Below are 21696 nucleotides of genomic sequence, written 5' to 3'. Positions count from 1 at the left end.
TAGTTTCAAGTACTCGGGAGTCTGAGGCAGGAGGATAGCTTGAGCCTGGGATGTTGAGGCTACACTGAGCCATGATTGCACCATTGCACTCCAGCGTGGGTGACAGAGACACTGTCTTAAAAAAAAAAAAATTAAATGTTGACCAAAAATATGCAAAAGAATGTATGCTTTTTAAAAATTATTTTAAAAAATTATTTTAGGAGGTAGGCAATAAAAAATGTTTGAGTCTATAGGTTTCCTTATGTTTGCGTCACAGAAAACACAATTATTATTTTTGATTGGTCAAACCAAAATCTCTTCAGGGATGTGTTATTGTAGTGGGAAATCAGAGACTGGAGAGACTAAGCGGAGTTCAGGAGGGAATATTTTAAGTGTACACTAGCTCAGCGGACATGCATCTTGAAAGTCTGAGCAGCAAACAAAGAAAATGAATGTCTTTTATGCACTTTGAGGTGGGAATTATATGATGCAGGAAGCTGGTTTACAAAAGCGAGAACAAAGCAGTTAATTATCAGGTGACATTCTTAGGACTCAGCTTACATCTTGGGAAAACATGTCTTGCGACTCATGCTTATCTATCTTGTGACTTTGCAGCTGCACAGCAAGAAAAACAGGAGCTTACAGAACTTACAAAATATGTGGGGGAGAGATATGGTTAATGCTTCACAGACCTTACAGAGGAGCAGTTAATATTCTTTCTTAACTCTTATTTCAGGGGGGCTACTTCATGTCTATTCTAGCATAACTTTAAACTGTAAATTTAATTTCTTTTAATTTTTCCACTTTATTATGAACTGAAATGTGTTCCCCAAAATTTATATGGGTTTTTTTGTTTTTTTTGTTTCGTTTTGTTTTGTTTGAGACAGGGTCTTGCTCTGTTGCCCAGGCTTGAGTGCTGCAGTGGCGTGATCTTGGCTCGACCTCCTGGGCTTAAGTGATCCTCCCACTTCAGCCCCCAAGTTTCTGAGACTACAGGTATGCACCACCACACCCAGTTAAATTTTTTTGTTTATTTATTTATATTTTTTTGTAGAGATGAGTCTCCCTGTGTTGCCCAGGCTGATCTCTAGCTCCTGGGCTCAAGCAATCCTCCTGCCTTGGCCTCCGAAAGTGCTGGGATTACAGGCATGAGCCACCACACCTGGCTTCCAAATGAGTATGTTGGAGCCATAACCCCCAATGTGACTGTATTTGGAGACAGGGCCTTTAAAGTGGTAATCAAGGTGAAATGCAGCCATAAGGGTGGCTAATCCAATGTGACTGATGTCTTCAGAAGAGGAAGAACACAGTTACAAATGCATAATCACAGAGGATAGGCCACTATGGGCAAAAGTCCAGAGCGGGCACAACTGGTAGCTATCAGTTGTTAACACTCCCAGGAAGTGAAGGAATAAATGCTTCTGTCTTGAAAGGGGGTGGTTCTGGGTGCCGTGCCACAGAGTCCACTATGCTGTCATTGTTCATGGACCACACAATTGTGTACTGAGATAATTTAAAAGAACCTAAGGAAAAAACCAAGACAATAAGCAAATTTAGCAAGGTTGCTGGATTCAAGGTCCAAATACAAAATAAATAGGAAATTAGATGTTATTACTGAAATTGTTTACATAACATCAAAAGAACCAACTGCCTAGGAATTAATTTAATATAAGATGTGCAACACCCACTACACTGAAAACTACAAAACACTGCTGAGAGAAATTGAGGATGGACTTAATACTTAAGGGATAGAGCATGTTCATAAATTAGAAACTTAATATTATAAAGATGTCAGTCATCTTCAACTCTATAGCTCCAAAGCAATCCTCCCAAATTCCCAGCAGGTTTTTTGAGGAAATTAACAAACTGATTTAAATTTATATGGAAATTCAAAATGCCAAGAATAGCTAGGGCTATCTTGAAGAAGAATCACAAAATCTAGAGGATTATACTACCCAAAATCAAGAACTATAATAAAACTATAGTGTGTGTGTGTGTGTGTGTGTGTGTGTGTGTGTGAGATATTGTTGAAGGATAGGCGAAGTAAACAATGAGACAAAACAGAATCCAGGAATAAACTCTCCCATGTATGGCTACCTTATTTATGATAAAAGCAACATGCTGTAATGTAGTGGGAAAAGGATGGTCTTTCAATAGATGATCTGAGCCATATTAAATATCCATGTAGGAAAACAAAGTCTCTTGACCTAGCTCATACCATGCGCAAAAAGCAATTTCAGATAAAATTAAAACAAAAACAGCTTTTAGCTGGGTGCAGTGGCTCACGCCTGTAATGTCAACCCTTTGGGAGGCCGAGGCAGGCAGATTGCTTGAGCTCAGGAGTTCGAGACCAGTCTGGGCAACATGCTGAAACCCCAACTCTATCAAAACAATACAAAAAATTAGCGGGGTGTGGTGGCATGTGCCTCCTGTGGTCCCAGCTATTCAGGAGGCTGAGGTGGGAGGATTGCTTGAGCCCGGGAAGCAGAAGTTGCAATGAGCTGAGATTGCACCACTGTACTCCAACCTGGGTGACAGAGTGAGAGAGTGAGACCCTGTTTTCTAAAAAAAATAAAATAAAATAAAAAGCTTTTATTTGAAAACATAAGGAAAGCATTTTTTGACCCTGAAGTAAAGATTTCTTTCTCTTTATTTTGATTTTGATTTTGTAGAGACAGCTGCCTTCAAACTCCTGGCCTCAAGTAATCCTCCCACCTCAACCTCCCAAAGTGCTAGGAATACAGATGTGAGCCACCACACCCAGGCAAGATTCTTAAATAGAATAATAAAATCACTCACTTGAACTATATTAAAATTAAGAACTTTTGTTCACCAAAAGACATTATTGAAAGAGTGAGAAGGCAACCCATAGACTGAAGAAGATATTTGCGGTACTGAAGTTTATTCTGAACTTTTTGCAAGTCTGAAAATCTCACAAAGTCCTCTGATCTAGACATATAAAGAATTTCACAAGCCAGCAATCCCATTACTGGATATATACCCAGAGGAATATAAATCATTCTACCATAAAGACACATGCATGCAAATGTTCATTGCAGCACTATTCACAATAGCAAAGATATGGAATCAACCTAAATGTCCATCAATGAGAGATTGGATAAAGAAAATGTGGTACATATAAACCACGGAATACTATGCAGCCATAAAAAGGAATGAGACCATGTTTTTCATGGGAACATGGATGAAGCTGGAGGCCATTATACTCAGCAAACTAATGCAGAAACAGAAAACCAAATCCCACCAGCCTGGCCAACATAGTGAAACCTCGTCTCTACTAAAAATACAAAAATTAGCCAGGCATGGTGGTGCATGGGCACGGTGGCACATGCCTGTTGTCCCAGCTACTTGGCAGCCTGAGACAGGAGAATCACTTGAACCCAAGAAGTGGAGGTTGCAGTGAGCCAAGATCGCGCTACTACACTCCAGCTTGGGCAACAGAGTGAGACTTCGTCTTAAAAAAAGAAAAAAAAGAAAAAGAAAACCAATTCCCACACATTCTCATTTATAAGTGGGAGCTAAATGGTAAGAACTTATGAACACAAAGAAGGGAAAAACAGACACTGGAGTCTACTCGACGGAGGATAGTAGGAGGAGGGAGAGGAGCAGAAAAGATAACTATTGGGTACTGGGCTTAATACCTAGGTGATGAAATAATCTGTACAACCAACCCCCGCGACACGTGTTTACCTATGTAACAAACCTGCACAGGTAGCCCCAAACCTCAAATAAAAGTTAAAAAAAAGGAAAATAGTTAAAAAAAAACAAAACAAAAAAAAACAAAAAATAAAAAAAAGAATTTCAAAAGAAAGTCAATCCAGAATCATAAACAAAAGCCTTGAACAGATCCTTTTTCATCAGAGGATATCCAACCACAATGAGATACCACTTCACACACACTAAGATGGCTAGAATTCAAAAAACAGGGCCAGGTGTGGTGGGTCACGCCTGTAATCCCAGCACTTTGGGAGGCCAAGGCAGGCAGATAACTTGAGGCCAGGAGTTCAAGACCAGCCTGATTAACATGGCGAAACCCTGCCTCTACTAAACATACAAAAATTAGCCAGGCGTGTTGGCGGGCGCCTGTAGTCTCAGCTACTGGGGAGGCTGAGGCGGGAGAATCGCTTGAACCTGGGAGGCAGAGGTTGCAGTGAGCCAAGATCGTGCCACTGCACTCCAGCCTGGGTGACAGAATGAGACTCTGTCTCAAAAATTAAAAATAAAAATAAAAAACAGGCCAGGTATGGTGGCTCAACCTATAATCCCAGCACTTTGGGAGGCCGAGGTGGGCAGATCACCTGAGGTCAGGAGTTTGAGACCAGCCTGACCAACATGGTGAAACACCGTCTCTAGTAAAAATACAAAAATTAGCCAGGCGTGGTGGTGGGCACCTGTAATCCCAGCTACTTGGGAGGCTGAGGCAGGAGAATCTCTTGAACCTGGGAGGTGGAGGTTGCAGTGAGCCAAGATCGTGCCATTGCACTCCAGCCTGGGCAACAAGAGTGAAACTCCATCTCAAAAAAAAAGAGAGAGAGAGAAGAAGAAGAAGGAAATACTTTCCAGGGACTTCCGGTTACTTTTTGTAGGCTGGAATTCTGCCACATGGCCAAACCTAACTGCAAGCGATTCTGAGAAGGTGACGATTTTAGTTGGGCACGTGGCTGCTCCAAATAAAATTGTACTTTTTGTCAGTGATAAAGAGAATAGATAATGGGGTGTGGTGGTGGGGAGTTGGAAGCACCCAGCACAGGGTCCAGCTTTCCAGAGATCTTACACTCTGATGGGGGAGATGGGAGGGTCAACAGAAAACAGGAACCCAGCTTGGTAAATCCTCCGCTGGAATCACAGGTGCTGTAGGAGCAAAGAGCTCTTAAGGAAGCCTTGCCAGAGTAGGAAACACACCTTGGAGGCCATTCCTTGAAGGACCAGTGGAAGTCCTCCAAGCAGAAGAGAGAAAAGCTTTTCAAGCATGATAGAAAGCATCTTTGAAAGTTATCGGAGATTTTAGTGGAAATTGGGAACCAAATGTTCCGTGTTCCTGAAGTGTGAGGGTCAAAGGCCGAAGATGGAGCTGGCGGGGAGGGGGCAGGAAGAAAATAGTCATGAAAGTCTGCTATGCCATGAACAGGAATAGAACTTTACCCCTAACAGCCCCTGAAGGGTTTTAAGCAAATGAATGTCATAATCAGATTAGGATTTTATTTTTTAAAAAGAATGAGATTGGGTCTTGCTATGTTGTCCAGGCTGGTCTTGAACTTCTGGGCTCAAGTGATCCTCCTTCCTCAACTTCCCAAAGTGCTGGGACTACAGGTGGGAGCCACTGCACCTGGCCCAGATTTTAAATAGCTGGCAGTACATCACCTGACACAATTCTAAGGGTTAGTTGAATAGAGGCAGCCTTGTGTATAGAGAATATGTAAAATAAAATAATAGACATAGGGGTGGAGGAATGTTCTGACATAGAAGGGGCAGCAACTGGGTTTTTGCAACAGTCTGGATGAGATATGATAAATATTTCAACAGGGCTACAGGAAGAAGGATAGAAAGTTCTCTGTGCTCCAAATGTGACATATTTTGCTTATTAAGGTAGGATTCTTAGAAAGAAAAAAAAGTAGGATTCTTTTCTGATACTGGTTCCTTTCCACTTCCTACCAAATCCTTGATGAAGGCGGGGATTCAAGGGGGAGGTAGGAGAAGGGAAAGCCTTCAAGAGGCCATTGTTATGGGAAGAAATATTGGTGAGATCCTGGGTTCTGAAGTCCCTTCTCTTCCTTTGCTGTTGAAATGTTGGCACTCCCTTTCAGTCTCTCCTCTTCTCATTTCCTGTTCCCTAGCTAGTCCTCAACACTCTTGGCTTCTCACTACTTATTTGCTGCTAACTGCCAGTCTTTATCTTCAGATTTCTTTCTTTAATGGTTGACATGACCCTTTATATCCCACTATCTCAACATCTTCACCATCAGGACTTACACATTCTCAAACTTTTTTCTTTTTTTTTTTTGAGACAGAGTCTCGCTCTGTCGCCCAGGCTGGAGTGCAGTGGCGCAATCTCGGCTCACTGCAAGCTCCACCTCCCAGGTTCACGCCATTCTCCTGCCTCAGCCTCCCGAGTAGCTGGGACTACAGGCACCCACCACCACACCCAGCTAATTTTTTGTATTTTTAGTACAGACGGGGTTTCACCGTGTTAGCCAGGATGGTCTCGATCTCCTGACCTCGTGATCCACCCGCCTCGGCCTCCCAAAGTGCTGTGATTACAGGTGTGAGCCACCACACCCAGCCACTCAAACTTAATGTAGTAAACTGAACACACTATTTTCTCTCTTTCTATATCTGTACCTGCATGGATGGCACCATCCACCCAGTTAAAAGGGATCAAAATATGCCAGTCCAAATTGTGCCACTTTGGCATAAGTAGGATTTTGTGCTGGAAGGCAATTAAGAAACACTTAAAAGCAGGATATAAATTTCCCCTTATGAAGGAAAGTGTCTCTCTCCCCCTCTCCCATATCAGGAGAAGGAGAATAACTTATATGACAAGAGACAGAAAGTCAGCACCAACTTGAATCTGCGTAAACAAATCTTACTAAAATGGTCATTATCTTCCATTAGTGCCTCCGATATATTTACCTTCCCATAACTTACTGCCCCAAATGCCCAGATCTCACTTCCTTGGTCTTGTTAATGTTTCCACAACTTGTCCTTTGTTAAAATGGCATATAAGCCCCCATTCCTCATTGCTTCTCTTATTTTCACTTCTTCCCTGTGAAGTTGTCACATGCTTGTGAAATAAGCCTTTCCCTTTCATCTGTCTTTTCTCGGTTTCATTTGCAGGCCCCGTATACTAAACCTAACAGGTAGAGGAAAAGGTTTTTCTCCTGTATGTAATCCACAGTCTAGAATTCTGGCAGTCTTCCCAGCCTCTTCCCTTACTCTCCTTTCTTGCATTCACTTAGTCTCTGACACTGGTGAACCACCTGAACCCTGTGCTTCTGTAAAACAGGTCAGTTAAGAAATTTACCCATCGTGTTGTTTTCCAAAACCCTCCAACCTTTTGTGTTCCAACAAAAAAGCTAACTGCAAAGAATCACTCTGCTCACACATATTCCATAAAAAGCCTCATCTCCATCCTTCATTATGGCTCCCATAAGATCCATGTATGACTCTTTTGTTTGCTGCCTCTATGAAACCTCAGGTCCCCTTCCTTTTCTCTGAGATGTTATTAATTAATGAACATGTGTTCTTGATTGCAATGGCCCGAATAAAACCACCTGTGTAATTGTCTGGTACGTTTTGTCTTTGATGTCAGTAAGTCTTCCTGATTCTATCAGCTAAGCTGAGTAGCTGCTGAGTGTCCCCTCCTCCCCCTCCCACTCCCCGTTCACCAGCTTTTACCTGGATAACTGTAGCAGTCTCCTAAATGGTTTCAAGGACTTCGGCTTTCTTCTTCTCCACCCCATTCTTCACATTACTGCTAGAATGATCTTTCTGAAAAGCAAGTCATTATCCAATCTCTGTTTCCCAGTCTAACTTTGAGGAGACACTACCCACGCCCCCACCCCGCCCCACACATACACACACATAATCCATGAGTACACTGAATTACTTGGGTGAAATACCGTGCTTTCTCCCCACCTCTTTTTTTTAGACAGTCTTGCTCTGTTGCCCAGGCTCCTGGAGTGCAGTGCTACAATCTCCGCTCACTGCAACCTCCACCTCTCAGATGCAAGCAATTCTCATGCCTCAGCCTCCCAATTAGCTGGGATTATAGGCACCTGCCACCACACTCGGCTGATTTTTTTGTATTTTTACTACAGACGAGGTTTCACCATATTGGCCAGGCTGGTCTCGAACTCCTGATCTCAGGTGATCTGCCTGCCTCGGCCTCCCAAGGTGCTGGGATTACAGGCATGAGCCACCACACCTGGCCTTCCGTAGCTTTTTGTGCTTTCTTCTATCATTTTTTTGGTCACACTGTATTATAACTGTTAATTTGTTTGTTTCCTTCCTCCCTCCACTAGTCTGTGAGCTTTTTGAGAAGAGAAACTTCATTTTATTTATCTTTGTATTCCCAGGCCTGGTGTAATACCTGACATATAATAAATGTATGTATCAGTATTTACTGTAAGTACTGTAATACCAAGTGTCACTTGAATGCTAAATGCCACCTAATCCTCACAATCACCTTCTCAAATATGCACAAATATTTATATTTCAATGAGTTGGACAATGTACATGTTCTCATTAACATCCTTTTATTCAGCGTAGTTGATAATTTAAGCATAAGAATATTCTTTTTATCCTATCTGAAATCCCAAAGATACAAGAATAAAGAGTTTTCCTAATCATTTAAGATGTATTCTGCCCGCATAACCTCTTAAGTCTTGAGGATCACCATTTCCTTTCGTTCCAAAAGAGGGGATGCTCTGGTAAGTGCTGCAGACCCAAAATGTACATGGGATGGAGCTTTTAGTGAGTGGAAGGGGCTTTCATGATCATGACTACCTTCTTTTTTTTTTTGGACACCAAGTCTCACTCTGTCCCCCAGGCTGGAGTGCAGTGGTGCAATCCCAGCTCACTGCAACCTCCGCCTCCCGGGTTCAAGCAATTCTCCTGCCTCAGCCTCCCGAGTAGCTGGGATTACAGGCGCATGCCACCACGCCCAGCTAATTTTGTATATTTAGTAGGGACAGGGTTTCACCATGTTAGCCAGGCTGATCTTGAATGCCCGATCTCTAGTGATCCGCCCGCCTAAGCCTCCAAAACTGCTGGGATTACAGGTGTGAGCTGCTGCACCTGACAACTACCTTCTTTTCTTTAGAGTTCCCTCTGCTCTCTTCCTTTGATACCCAAGAGGCAAGCTTGGGAATGACCTCCTTTGCATATCTTCCCCCATCTGCCCTCACTATAGGAACTCCTAGAAGGACCAGGACAGACACAAGGATGGAGGAGAAAGGTACAGAACAATTAATGCAACTGTGACCCTGGGCTTGGGGGAATATTCTCTTCAGTATACGCTTTTATTTATTTTATTTTATTCTATTTTTTTGAGACAAGGTCTCACCCTATCACCCAGGTTGGAGTGCAGTGGTGCAAACTAGGCTCACTGCAACCTCCTCCTCCTGGGTTCAAGCGATTCTCCCACCTCAGCCTCCGGAGTAGCTGGGACTACAGGAACACGCCACCATGCCTGGCTAATTTTTGTATTTTTGGTAGAGATGGAGTTTTGCCATGTTGCCTAGGTTGATCTCGAACTCAGAGCTCAAGCGATCCACCCACCTTGGACTACCAAAGTGCTGGGATTACAGGAGTGAGCCACCATGCCTGGCCTTTTCAATTTTAAATTCAGGAGATACATATGCAGGTTTAGATTCAGGGGGTAAATATGCAGGTTTTGTTACATGGGTATATTGCGTGATGCTGTGGTTTGAGTTAGTGATCCCGTTACCCAAATAGTGAACATAGTACCTGAATGTAGGTTTCAACTCTTGCCCTCTTTCCTCCCTTCTCCCTTTTGGAATCTCCAGTGTTTATTGTTTCTATCTTTGTGTCTATGTGTACAACAGGTTTAGCTCCCACTTAAAAGTTAGAACATGCAGTATTTGGTTTTCTGTTTCTGCATTAATTCACTTAGGATAATGGCCTCCAGCTGCATCCATGCTGCTGCAAAGGACATGATTACATTCTATTTATTTATTTATTTATTTAGATACGGAGTTTTGCTCTTGTCGCCCAGGCTGAAGTGCGATGGCATGATCTCGGCTCATTGCAACCTCCACCTCCCAGGTTCAAGCAATTCTCCTGCCTCAGCCTCCCCAGTAGCTGGGATTATAGGCACCTGCCACCACACCCTGCTAGGTTTTTGTATTTTTAGTAGAGATGGGTTTTGCCATGTTGGCCAGGTTGGTCTTGAAGTCCTGACCTCAGGTGATCCACCCACCTCGGCCTCCCAAAGTGCTGGGTTTACAGGTATGAGCCACCGCACTGGGCCGATTGCATTCTTTTTTATGGCTACATAGCATTCCATGGTATACATGGACCACATTTTCTTTATCCACTCTACCATTGATGAACATCTAGGCTGATTCCATGTCTTTGCTATTGTGAATAGTGCTGCGAAAAACATACAGGTGCATGTGTCCTTTTGGTAGAAAGATGTATTTCCTTTGTGTATATACCCAGTAGTGAGATTGCTGGGTTGAATGTTAATTCTATTTTTAATTCTTTGAGAAAACTCCAAACTGCTTTCCACAGTGGCTGAACTAATTTACCTTCCCACCAACAGTGTGTTAGCATTCCCTTTTCTCTGCTACCTCGCCAACATCTCTTATTTTCTGACTTTAATAATAGCCATTCTAACTAGTGTGGATGGTATCTCATTGTGGTTTTGATTTTGCATTTCTCTGATGATTAGTGATGGTTAGCATTTTTTCATATGTTTATTGGCCACTTGTACTCTTCTTTTGAGAAGTGTCTGCTCATGCCCCTTGCCCACGTTTTAATGGGATTATTTGTTTTTTTCTTGTTGATTTGTTTAAGTTCCTTATAGATTCTGGATATTAGTTCTTTGCTGGAGGCAGTTTGTTAATATTTTCTCCTATTCTTTAGGCTGTCTGTTTACTCTGTTGATAGTTTCTTTTGCTGTGCAGAAGCTCTTTAGTTTAAGTAGGTCCCATCTGTCATTTTTTATTTTTGTAGAATGTACTTATTTTCCCTGACTTTTCAGTCAGAATTTGCAATCAAGGGGAGCATAATGGATCCAGTGGATACCCAGGATAAAAGGGTGTAATTGCCTAGAGAATCTTTTCTGTTAAATATCATTCATCTTACTTCCCTTATCCCTTTGCCTCCAAACCTGTTTCCAAAACAAAAGCATTCCTCTGAGGAAGTGCTTGCACGGTGATAGGTGATAGATAGCCCATGTGGGGAGAGGTTGGGAGAATCATGCAGAAGAGAAACCGAGAGAGATGGAAACGGCATTCTGGCCAGCCACTTTTCTTGTAATCCATCACTGTTTGCCCTGCAGTAGCGGGCTGGTTGAGCAGAGCCCCATAATTAAAATTCTCTATTCTAACCTGTCCTCACATCTTTAAGATGATTCTTTGAGAAGTCTGGGTTAAAAGGTTTAAGGAAGAAACCAAACTGTGAGTTTTGGGGGAAAGGATGATCATCACCTTTAAAAGAACTTTTGGTTTCCAAAGAAATATGCATAGAACTAAATGCACAGATTTTCTTTTCCATTTTTATTTTTTTAGCCAATTTCCAAAGCCCTAAATCACATTTTCCCTTAGACTGAAACTCTAGAAAAACATTATTATTATTATTATTTATTATTTTTTGAGACAGGGTCTTGCCTCATTGCCCAGGCTGGAGTGCAGTGGCACAATCTCAGCTCACTGCAACCTCCACCTCCAGTGTTGAGGCGATTCTCCTGCCTTGGCCTTCCAAGGGGCTGCGATTACAGGCCCGTGCCACCACACCAGGCTAATCTTTGTATTGTTAGTAGAGACGGGTTTTACCATGTTGGCCAGGCTGGTCTTGAACTCCTGACCTCAAGTGATCCGCCCACCTCGCAATCCCAAAGTGCTGGGATTACAGGCGTGAGCCACCGCATCCGGCCTAGGAAGACATTCTTATCTTCTCTAGTTCACCCTCTACCACCGTCTCCTCTCTGGAGAGCCCCCTGAATGGCTAAATAAAACAGCTAAACCACCTTTCTTCCCCCTATGACCCTGCCCATGCAACGCCTCCTCTGAGTGATTGTTCCTATCCCATCTCCTTGCAAAGGTAGTAGAAAGTATTATAGCTGAGGTTCAGACATATTCATTTGTTACCCATATACTAGTCAGAGAAATTAAATTATTTGATTGAATGAGTTCTGCTTCAAGCGACAGAAGAATGTTCCACCCTCCAGTAAATGTCACAGAGGACTAATTGAGTTTCCAGCTCCTATCCTGAAAAGCGAACAATCAAACAAAAAATAGAAGACACTGTGATACTCAGAAGCTCATTACATACATAGAGGATACTTGACCTCTCTATATATATACAAAAAAATCTCACAAATGCACAGTTGGATTATTAATAGTGTTATCTCACAGGTGTAGAATCAGGTAACCTTTACTTTTGTCTTAGTATTTTCATATAACAAAGATGTATCATGTAAAAATATCAGGAAAAATCAATCCATTTTCAATCTGATAGAAAAAAGTATTGTTTTAATACCAAGCATTAGCTTTTTCTTCTGTAAACTATTTTCAAGAGTTTAGGACAGGCCGGGCACAGTGGCTTACACCTGTAATCCCAGCACTTTGGGAGGCTGAAGTAGGCGGATCACCTGAGGCCAGGAGTTTGAGACCAGCCTGACCAACATGGCGAAACCCCATCTCTATTAAAAATACAAAAAAAATTAGCTGGGCGTGATGGCACGTGCCTGTCATCCCAGCTACTCAGGAGGCTGAGGCACAAGAATCGCTTGAACTTGGGAGGCAGAGGCTGCAGTGAGCTGAGATCACGCCACTGCACTGCAGCCTGGGCAACAGAGCCAGATCCTGTTTAAAAAAAAAAAAAAAGTTTAAGACAAAAAAGGAAAGCTCACTTTCTATCAACAATAGCTTCCAAAAGACAATAACAGGGCTGAGTGTGGTGGCTCATGCTTGTAATCTCAGCACTTTGGGAGGCCGAGGTGGGCAGATCACCTGAAGTCAGGAGTTCGAGACCAGCCTGGTCAACATGGTGAAACTCTGTCTCTACTAAAAATACAAAAATTAGCCAGGCATCATGGTGGGCGCCTATAATCCCAGCAACTCAGGAGGCTGAGGCAGGAGAATCGCTTGAAGCTGGGAAGTGAGCCACTCAACCTCCGCCACTGCCCTCCAGCCTGGGCAACACCGCGAGACTCTATCTCAAAAAAAGACAATGACAGTAACTCGAAAAGAGGCTCCTCTTAACTTCTGCCACCCTAACCCATAACTCCACCCATTTCTCCGCTGGACTTACCTCATTCACAGGGATCAGAATACTGAATTGTTGCCTGTTCATCTGTGAAATGAAATAAGTCATATTATTACTTTGAGGGCCTCCTATATTCAGAGGGAAAATGCTTCAGAAAAGCTACTGCTTGAGCCCCTTCCAGAGAATCTCTACAGGTTATGAGCATATTCAGAATTACAAGAAAGTTTCAATCACTAATATTTGTACATTGTGACAAACTATTAATCATACCAAAAATAATAGAAATAGCCCTTTGAGAACAATGGTTCACATTGTTCTCCGATCACATAAAATGTCTCTAGTGTACGCAACTTAAAAATGGCACACAACTGAATTAAAATATTTTAGGAGATTAGATAATTTAATTATGTGCTACTTGGCTTGGGAAGGAGTATTTGTAAAATTAAGAGAGAAGCCATGAAGAATGAGGCAGAAGTAAGTTGGGAGATGCAGGTAAGATCTCAGATCTCATTTCAGCTCAGCCCTCTCACCTGGTAGGTAGTAGTCATAGACCTTGATGGTTGCTGGTTTCAAGTTGGTGACCAGCACACTTTGGCTGATGGTGAAGGTGTAAGTCTGAGTGTTCTTAATGAGCTGTGGGGAAGACAGATGAAACAGTACCTTAGAAGTAAAATGAAAATTACACTGTATGCAATGTGGAATAAAAGACCCTTGCTGTCTTCATGTAGATTTTCTGAAGCCCCGCCAGGCACGGTGGCTCATGCCTCTAATCCCAGCACTTTGGGAGGCCGAAGTGGGTGAATCACCAGAGGTCAGGAGTTCCAGACCAGCCTGGCCAACATGGTGAAACCCCATCTCTACTAAAAATACAAAAATTAGTCGGGCATGGTGGCTGGCACCTGTAATCCCAGCTACTCAGGAGGCTGAGGCAGAAGAATCGCTTGAACCTGGGAGGCAGATGTTGCAGTGAGCCGAGATGGCGCCACTGCACTCCAGCCTGGGCGACAGAGCGAGACTCCATCTCAAATTAAAAAAAAATTTTTTTTTTAATTAAAAAAAGATTCTCTGAAACCCTCTATGTACCGCTACTGCCCTATGAGTCTTAAAGACATTGCCTCCTGCTGACTTCCTGGCTCTTTCTTCTTAGGATCTTACAGCTCTCTGGCCCTCTTGTGAACTGGTTCCCTTTGTTCATGGTCCACCCTGACCCATGGCTTCTCCACTAAATTAGTCAAAGTGGCCAGAGAAACAGAGGCTTGCATTTTACTCCAACAGTTCTATGCCCCTTACTGGTTTGCTTTCTTCAATCTGGTCCCTGAGCAAATGATACCTCCTCAAAGAGGCTTTCCTTGAACACCTTATTTAAAAAGAGTCACATCCCTGGCCTGCCCCACCAGCACTCTTTATCCCCTTATGCTGCATAGCACTTATTACTACTGAAAAAAAATGTGTGTGTATACACATATACATGTAATTTTTAAAAACCTGAATATTGTTGTCTCTCCACTAGAATATCAGCACTCTTAGGCCAGGTATCATATCTATTGTTTTCATTGCTACGTCTCCATCACTTAGAAAAGTGACTGGCATATGTTGGTTGTTCAGTAAATATTTGTTGAATAAATTAGCAAATGGAGAATCTAAGGCAATTGTATAAGTTACTTTAATATAAAAAAATAAATCCTAGCTACTTGGGAAGCTGAGGTGGAAGGATCATTTGAACCCAGGAGGTGGAGATTATAGTGAGCCAAGATCGGGCCACTGAAGTCCAGCCTGGGCAACAGAGTGAGACCCTGTCTCAAAAAAAAAAAAAAATCGTATTATAAATTTAGATATAGCGCTATTAACGCCTAATTGGAAGGGATTTCCAAAGTTCTTCAGGTATAGTGCTTCTCAAAGTGTGGTCGAGGGACCTCCCCTACTCCAGGGATCCCCGAGATTGCATCAGAATATCTGAGAGGTCAGAATTATTTTTAGAATGATATTAAGACTTTTTTTTTCCACTCTCATTCTCTTACAAATATACAGGAGATTGTTTCCTTCTGGGGAAAGTGATTTAAAAAAATAAAAAACAAAACAAGTATACAGGAGAGTTATCAGAGGCTACTTTATGTGTAATATTGCAACGGTTTGAATGTAGGAGTAAATAGGAAAATTTCATTCTCTTTGATTAAGCCAGATATTAAAGCAAAAATGCAAAACAATGTCACCATTCTTATTTTTTTGTTTTGGAAAATAGTTATTTTCTTTTTCTTTTTCTTTTTTTTTTTTTTTGAGATGGAGTCTCACTCTGTTGCCCAGGCTAGAGTATAGTGGCATGATCTCGGCTCACCGCAACCTCTGCCTGCCAGGTTCAGGCGATTCTTCTGCCTCAGCCTCTCAAGTAGCTGGGACTACCGGCACGCACAACCATGCCCAGCTAATTTTTGTGTTTTCAGTAGAGATGGATGGGGTTTCACCATATTGGCCAGGTTGATCTCGAACTCCTGATCTCGTGATCCACCCGCCTCGGCCTCCCAAAGTGCTGGGATTACAGGCATGAGCCACCACGCCTGGCCAGAAAATAGTTATTTTCACAAAAATTTTATTTATATTAAGATGTAGTGAGTTTATTATCATTTTTAAATTAATTAATAAATATTTTAAGATTGTCTCAGTTTTAATTTCTAATATGATAAAGACCAATAGTTAAAACCCACTTCACCGAAAGCTGTTTGAGGTCCTCAGTAAATTAAGAGTATAAAGGGACACTGAAACAAAGAATTTTTAGAACCACTGTTCTTTTCTATCATTTGGTCACCATAATGAATTAAAGCAAATGACTAATATGAACCAAAAGAAAGCTGGGGTAGCAGTTTTTTTTTTTTTTTCTTTTTTCTGAGATGGAGTCTTGCACCGTTGCCCAGGCTGGAGTGCAGTGGCGCAATCTCGGCTCACTGCAAGCTCTGCCTCCCAGGTTCACGCCATTCTTGTGCCTCAGCCACCTGAGTAGCTGGGACTACAGGCTCCTGCCACCACGCCCAGCTAACTTTTTGTACCTTTAGTACAGACGGGGTTTCACTGTGTTAGCCAGGATGGTCTTGATCTCCTGACCTCATGATCTGCCCGTCTCAGCCTCCCAAAGTGCTGGGATTACAGGCATGAGCCACTGCGCCCGGCCAGGTAGCAGTTTTAATATCTGACTAAATGGCACCCAAGGCAAGGGAAAAAAATTGTGTGTGTGTGTGTGGCGGTGGGGGAGTGTAAGAATCTAAGGCAAAAGTAAATGATATAAATATATACACATATATAGTAATGGGGAAAGGATAGTATGTACTAATATAAGGAAAATTTAATAAGAAGATATGTTCATAACATATATATCTAATTATGTAGTCTCAAATATATCAGGAAACAATTGGCAGAAATGTATGGATAAATGGATAAATCAAATATCATAATTAGAGGCCAGGCGTGGTGGCTCACACCTATAACTCCAGCACTTTGGGAGGCCTAGGCAGGCAGATCACTTGAGGTCAGAAGTTCAAGACCAGCCTGGCCAACATGGTGAAACGCTGTCTCTACCAAAAAAATACTAAACAAACAAACAAAAACCATCATAATTGGATATTTTAACACATGCTTTTCAGAAATTGTTAAATCAAGCAGAAAAATAAGCAGAGTTATCAAACACATGAACAACAGAAATAATGATCTCAGACTTCTAGATCAGAATCCAAGCCCAAGAGAAAAGAAATAGATGTTCTTTTGGAGTGCACACTGAACACCTGCAAAAACAGATCATGGATTAGGTCATGGAAGAAACTTCAGCACATTCCAGGCAATCAGGATCATGAAGACTGTATTCTCAGACCATAATGCAACAAAATTAGACATCAGGAACAAAAGGATGGCTTTAAAAATTCCATGTGTTTCCCAACAAATTAAGAAATAGTTAGAACTGAATGACAGTAAAAACATTGCTTGTCTGAGATTGTGGGAGAGGGATGGCATGTACCTAGAGGGACGCTTATAGTGTAAGTTCATCAAAAAATAAGGAAGACTATATATGTGAATAAGGTCATCCTCTGGTGAAATTGATCAAGAACACAAGGGAGAAGACACACAGAAAAGAGGAAATAACCACAGATACAATGATTAGCACTGGCTTTTAGATCATTAGGCCTGTTAACTCAAATTAGAAGCCAACTGGCAGATTTGGCAGGACACACTGAGGAGCAGTTCATTGCAGTCTCAGGCATGGTGTCATGGAAATCAGACTCCCCAGGTTCTGCTCCCACCCTAGACACTGACAGATGGTATGACTTGGACAACCCACTCTCTCTCTCCAACTCTGTCTCCTTATGTCTAAGGAGGGTGGCTGTAAGACTTGAATAAGTCATGTATGAAAGCATCATAAACTTGGCAAAGTTTTAAACAGCAACATCATGATTACAGGGTAGTGCCAGATAAGCTAACCCGAGCTGTCTCAAAAGAAACTATACACAACTCGGCTGGGTGCGGTGGCTTACGCCTGTAATCCTAACACTTTGGGAGGCCGAGGTGGGTGGATCACGAGGTCAGGAGATCGAGACCATCCTGGCTAACACGGTGAAACCCTGTCTCTAGTAAAAATACAAAAAATTAGCCGGGCATGGTGGCGGGCGCATGTGGTCCCAGCTACTCGGGAGGCTGAGGCAGGAGAATGGCATGAACCCGGGAGGCAGAGCTTACAGTGAGCTGAGATTGTGCCACTGCACTCCAGCCTGGGTGACAGAGCGAGACTGCGTCTCAAAAAAAAAAGAAAAAAGAAACTATACACGGCTCACACAACATAAAAAACCCTGGCTCCCTGGAAGACAGGAAACACAGTTAGATGATGGGGTTGGTGGGTGGGCAGGGGGTTGGAAATGGATGTTACTAACAACAGTATGTTTTGATTTGGGATATTCTTGTCTTTTGGTTATATTCAATAAGGATAACTTTGTTCCTTGTGTGGAATGGAATATCATGAAAAGGAACATTGTAACAATCTTTAGAACATTGTTAGTCCTTGAGAACTTCTTGTTTTGTTAAAATGAAAGGTTACATACAATGTCTGATTAATATTAAGTAATATTAACATTATGTTAAAATGATAGGAATAGCTATAAAGTGATGAGGGCTTACTCTATACCAGGTACAGTTCTAAATATTTTTACATGTCTTAAATAATTTAGTTTTTTCTATAACTCTAAAAGAACTATTTTGACCCCTACCCACACACATTTTACAGCTAACTTTCAACAGCTTGTCCAGTTACTCAGTCAATGCTAGAACCAAGATCACAGCCCAGGCAGTCTGGCTTCAGAGCTTCTGCTATTAACCACTATAACATACTCTAGAGTTGCAATGTCACTTGTGGCTATTGAGCACTTGAAATGAGGTCAGTCAGAATTGAGATGCACTGACAGTGTAAAGTACATACTGGATTTCAAAGATGTGGTACAGAAAAAAAAAAAGAATGTAGATATCTCATTAATACGTCTGTATATTAATTGTATGGTAAAATGGAAATATTTGGGGTGTATAAGCTTGCATAAAATATACCGTTAAACTTAATTTCATCTGTTTCTATACTTTTTAAATGTGTCTACCAGAAATCTTCAAATGTCGTAAACGGCTCACATTATAGGTCTGTTGGACAGGGCTCCTCTAGAGGCACAATGGGGTGTTTTACGGTATACCAGCATGGAGGCAGAACTCATGGCATGGTGTGGACTCACTCCCAGGCCCCTCATCCCCATGTGTGTGACACCCGTATATACAGATTAGAAGGGAAGTCATGAAGATCCGTAAGCAATCCAGCTCTTTGATCTGGTTCCTGAATACCTACCTCATCCAAGTAAATGTTAAGTGTGTCAGTTCCAAATTCAACCTTCTTCACCAGGGGTTGCTGGAGAAGCTGAATAAGAGAGGGAGAAAAAAAAGATACTAAGAGCCAGAGCCTTCCCTGGGGTAGTCTTCCAAAGCTCTGCCATGATCAAGGAAACAATATATACTGTGGAAAAGGTAGGAAAAGGGAACCAAGACTATTACAAGTTGCATGTCATATATCTGCTACAACCTTGCAGCCCATTTAAATAATCCAATCATGAGTTTGTGTGTATGAATATATACATATATGCACACATATATGTACATACATGCACATATATACATGTATATATACCTACATATGTATACACACACATATATATAATCACATACTGTGTATATGGATGCCATATATATATATGAAAACTACTTTTCTTACAAGTGTACATACATATACATACATATATATGTATGTATATACATGCCTTGTGTGTGTGTGTGTATACACGCCATGATGCCCATTTTACCAGTTTTTTAAATTATAACGTTAGGTCCCCTCACAGCTAGATAAATGAAGAAAACAGAAGTAACTTACTAACTGATTGGTGCCCTCCATGGGACTGAACCCAGATAGCATCTTCACTTCCACAATAGCCATATTGGAAGAGCTACGGCTCCCCACATAACTGAGAGCAGGAAGAAGAAAACACATGTGAGCCTATTACTTCAGTGCACTCTGCATCCCCAACACACACACACACACACGTACACACACACATACACAGACACACACACACACAAGTGTCCCAGCTCAGCTCCTATGACCAGGTGCTCTGCCGGCCACCAGCACCCCAGCTTTAATCACCTGGTGTGAATAGTGAGAGTCAAGGATCGAGGTGAAGTCGGTTGCTCACATCTAGCTTTTCCTATTTCCACACTAAGACTAAAGGTCTTCATATTTGTGGGAGGGAGAATATTGTATCTCAACACCGTCTGGTAGGAAGAAATAGGTAGCCAAATCAGACTTGGAAAGAACTTTAAAGATTGTACAGTTCAAACTACTTTTCTTACAAGTGAGAAAGAAAGAGAGAGAGAAGGCCTAAGGGGAAGATGCTCTCCGACTCTCCTTCCCAATGTCCGCTCATTCTCATGGATCTCTACTTACCTGCACATAGACACAGCCCTGGCCTGAGGCCTCCAACGTGTACATTCCAGGGACATTGGGCAGGGTATCCTGCTGAAATACCAATCTGTTAACTGACTGTATGTTGAATGTGCGCTGGAAATTCTCAGTGGATTTTACAACCAGGTTGATCTCCTCAGATGGCATGTAGGCGGTAGTGGCATATTTGGCAAGAGCTTGGAGAGCAACTACAGTATCCTGAGGGAAACAACCAAACGTATACTTACCATTTTGTGAGCCATTGGAATTAACCTTGAACAACTCTATAACCCACACATCTGGTTGTTGTTAGTTGGCTTGGATGATGACTTCTTTAAGTATTTAGAGAACTATACCCACCTCCTCTGGAGAAGCTGGCCTAGAAATCACAGTAGCTTGCTTTTTTTTTTTTTCAGATGGAGTTTTGCTTTTGTTGCCCAGGCTGGAGTGCAATGGCACGATCTCAGCTCATTGCAACCTCCGCTTCCTGGGTTCAAGTGATTCTCCTCCCTAAGCCTCCCAAGTAGCTGGGATTACAGGCGTGTGCCACCACATCCGGCTAATTTTGTATTTTTAGTAGAGAAGGGGTTTCTCCATGTTGGTCAGGCTAGTCTTGAACTCCCAACCTCAGGTGGTCCGGCTGCCTTGGCCTCCCAAAATGCTGGGATGACAGGCATGAGCCACCATACCCAGCCAGTAGCATGCTTTTATAGAAAATCACCATCAACAAGGTACTACTGAACATCCACAGATTACTTGGTTAACCTAATCAATTCATGTTCAGAAACCAACAGTTTCAGAATGAGTTATTGCTAGAAGCAAGTGGATAATTGTTCAGTATATATTTTACAGCTTCCTTATTTGGGGGAGAAACAGTAGTAACTTGATAGCCCTAGAAATTGCAGTCTATGAAGTCATTTAACTGTGTAATGATCTTCTACATGACAGTTGGAAGGAGTATAAGGGACCCTAGGAAAGTCCTTCCCTGCAGGCTGGCTTCTTAGCCATTATACCATGTGACAATCTTTTATTTCTCTGGGAATAAGACAGATAAACTGTCACTAAGTGAGCATGGTACAGTGATATTTGAACTGTTTCATTCTGAAAACATAATTCATATAAATTACAAGGGGAAAGAAAAATGAATGAAGTGTTCAACAAAATTGTTATATCTCACTCGTGTAAAATATCTATTACAAAAAATATCTATTACAAAAAAAAACCCGATTTCTTCATCTCACAAATGAAAAATACATTCTTATTTCGACATTATCACTGTCCTACAAAACAGGAAGACAGGTCACCCACCCTGGTGAAGCTGTGAAGAAGTTCTATCTGTGCAGCTTCACCATCTACAAACAATTTTTGTTTACCTTTTGTGGACTGGAGCCAGGGAGGTTTTTTACTGCTTGAACATATGGAGACAATTCAAAGAAAGGGACCTCACTGTCAGCTGAAAAACCAGTGTGGGTAATATATGATATATGACTTCTTGTGATAGCCAAGGATTTCATTGAAAAAGGATTCTGACATATACCTGTCACTGAGAGTTGTAAACATTTCACCCACTGCTTTCCAAAAATATTATTATATATTATAATTATTCAGGACCGAGCAAGAAGGAGTATTTTGTGATCTTTGGCCAAGAATTTCCCTGAAACAGGGAGGCATAGTACCATATAATTTTTTTAAGTTTCAATTAAGTCATTACCATATTTAAACTTGGTGCTTTTTTTTTTTTTTTTTTT

General features: G+C 41.8%; 1 protein-coding gene across 9 annotated transcripts in view; it reads right to left on the bottom strand.

The window, feature by feature from the left end:
* The window catches only part of A2ML1 (alpha-2-macroglobulin like 1), a 64839-nt gene continuing 43692 nt past the window's right edge, over positions 550 to 21696 (bottom strand). For 4 of the 9 annotated variants that reach the window (XM_011520566.3, NM_144670.6, XM_047428387.1 and 1 more), the window contains 7 exons: positions 19952 to 20167; positions 19652 to 19779; positions 19382 to 19472; positions 18806 to 18874; positions 13482 to 13584; positions 12997 to 13038; positions 11222 to 11951 (listed from right to left, as the gene is read on the bottom strand). In XM_011520566.3, the coding sequence (XP_011518868.1) occupies positions 12998 to 13038; positions 13482 to 13584; positions 18806 to 18874; positions 19382 to 19472; positions 19652 to 19779; positions 19952 to 20167 (648 nt within the window). In that variant the 3' untranslated portion in view covers positions 11222 to 11951; position 12997. Of the gene's footprint in view, positions 1503 to 7392; positions 7486 to 11221; positions 11952 to 12099; positions 12549 to 12996; positions 13039 to 13481; positions 13585 to 18805; positions 18875 to 19381; positions 19473 to 19651; positions 19780 to 19951; positions 20168 to 21696 lie in introns of those variants that run through there. The other 5 variants (XM_011520567.3, XM_017018869.2, XM_017018870.2 and 2 more) reach the window with 2 other exon arrangements.

This window comes from Homo sapiens, chromosome 12 (genome assembly GCF_000001405.40).
Source record: "Homo sapiens chromosome 12, GRCh38.p14 Primary Assembly".
Taxonomy (NCBI): domain Eukaryota; kingdom Metazoa; phylum Chordata; class Mammalia; order Primates; family Hominidae; genus Homo; species Homo sapiens.
The sequence above is the reverse complement of the archived record's forward strand: the minus strand, read 5'-3'. Positions and strand labels throughout refer to the sequence as shown.